Source organism: Homo sapiens, chromosome 4 (genome assembly GCF_000001405.40).
Source record: "Homo sapiens chromosome 4, GRCh38.p14 Primary Assembly".
Taxonomy (NCBI): Eukaryota; Metazoa; Chordata; class Mammalia; order Primates; family Hominidae; genus Homo; species Homo sapiens.
This window is the reverse complement of record NC_000004.12, coordinates 81,504,754-81,506,740: the sequence shown is the minus strand read 5'-3', so window position 1 is coordinate 81,506,740 and position 1,987 is coordinate 81,504,754. Positions and strand designations below refer to the sequence as shown.

Genomic DNA, 1,987 nt, shown 5'->3' with positions numbered 1-1,987 from the left:
TGGGCTTTCACAAGTTCTGACCATCATAGAATCTCTATGTGGTAAAGATAATATGTTCTTAAAGTGGGGTAGGGGCTCCCTAGGAACCTGTATTGAAGCTTATGTTCTTATTTAGATTGTATATTTACCAAAGCCAATCTTGGAGCCATCTCTGCTCACATGCAAGAGTGGGCCAGGCTGAGGAAGGATGATGGTGGGAATCTAGGAAAAGGAGGGGCCTGGAAGCTGGACTCTTTGTCTCTTCTGCTGAAGCCAGAGACTTGGGAACAGCAGGCACCTGTCATCCCAAGGTGCTGGGATGGGAGGAGGACCTGGTTTTTGAAACCAATGATACATCAATCCATGGGCAAACTTTGGTACCTACACTCTATTTGGCAGACCTCTGGCTGATCTCAGCCCTGCCTTGGATACATTGCAACAGAACTGGGAGAAATATGGCAGAGATCAGCTCTCCTTAGTTGAAACAGAAAATCCCCGAGGATGGGCAGGAAAAGATACTAGATACTAGACTACCTGTTCTTCTGATAAATCATATAATGTTTGCTTGTTAAATGATTATAAATCTAGTTCTTTCTTTTATTCCTCCTTTAGGATCAAAATTTATTACCAATTCAGAAGATTAGTGTGGGCTGGGCTCCCCTGTAAACATTTCCCTCTTTATTATATTTCCCCTACTCTGCAAATTAAGAGAACTGCCACTTAAAGCCTGTAAAAAACAACCCTGTCAGTTAACTCTGATGGAGTCATAGTGATGAAATATTAGCTAGTGCTAGACAGGAGTCTGGAGATCCTTTATTATTACATATAGAAAGAAATGAGTGATTACCCAAGGTCACCTGGCCGACTAACTGCAGAAACAGGCTGGGACCCAGGGCTTTGGTTCTCAGGCCAGAGCTCTGCTCACCATGGCAGCCTTGCTTTCTTCTCTGATTGTACCCGGCTTTTTGTTTGGTTGCTTGGTTGGTTTTGGTACTTTTATGCTAGAGAATACTTGGTTAGCCAAAGATTTTTTCATAACCCCTGTAAAGCATGAATTTCACTTTTTTAGGGAACCACTTTTTCCTCTGGCTAAGAGTTTTGCGCCCCAACTTAATGGGAAAAAAAACAAACATTGTCTTGCTGCAGGAGCCTATAAAAATGCCATTTCTTTGAAAACTGGCAATGGCTAAAGCCTCACATAAACCTCTGAAGGAAGAAAAGGACGGAGAAGCTAAGGTGCACAAATCACCCAGCTTTGTGACTGGTAGAGCTAACACTTGTTTCCTGATGTGGACGGTTCCAACAGCTGCTTGTCTGCAGACTCAGAAACTTCTTTGAACTAGAAGGAACTTTGACAATTATCTGTGAGGAAACAGAAAGAACATGTCCCGTGAGCGCCGTCACAGGGCAGAGTCAGAACCGGAACCCACGCCTTCCAACTCTTAGTCAGATGATTGTCTGTGACAGAATATTTGGAAGACTCCAAGGATGAGGCTTTTAATTTCAGACAAGTAAGTGCAAATTAGGAAGTGTATCAAAAGTCAGTGCATCGACTATGATAATCATTGTTTTGCCCTTATTATGTTCCAGGAACTGTTCTAAGGGCTTTACATGGATTGAGTACTTCCTTACACTGGGCTATTAGTCAGCTTTCACCAGGCTGTGTTACAGCAATAACCCCCAAATCTTAGTAGTTTACAATAACAGAGGTTGTAGGTGGTTGTGATGGGTGAGACTCCTCCAAATGGCTTCTTCAGTGCAGGATCAGGGTGAATGAGAAGACCCTATTTGAGATATGTCATTCTTGTGGCAGACAGAAAAGGGCGCAATGGCCCAGAAAGCCTTTGCTCAGTCAGGGCATATGTCATTTCCACTCAAATGCCACTGATCACGGCAAGTCACATGGCCAAGCCTGATGTCAATGAAAGGAACACAGCAAGTCACATGACAGTAGCCAGGGATAATGCAGCAGACTAGCAGACTAAATATTTCTGTTCCCTCAGAATTC

The 1,987-nt window shown here is 43.3% G+C and overlaps 1 annotated feature.

The window, feature by feature from the left end:
* Window positions 1,238-1,357: a silencer, noted in NCBI's record as "silent region_15525". NCBI's record gives its function as "represses an Ori minimal core promoter by ATAC-STARR-seq in GM12878 lymphoblastoid cells {active_cell/tissue: GM12878}" and the evidence as "EXISTENCE:reporter gene assay evidence [ECO:0000049][PMID:35858748]".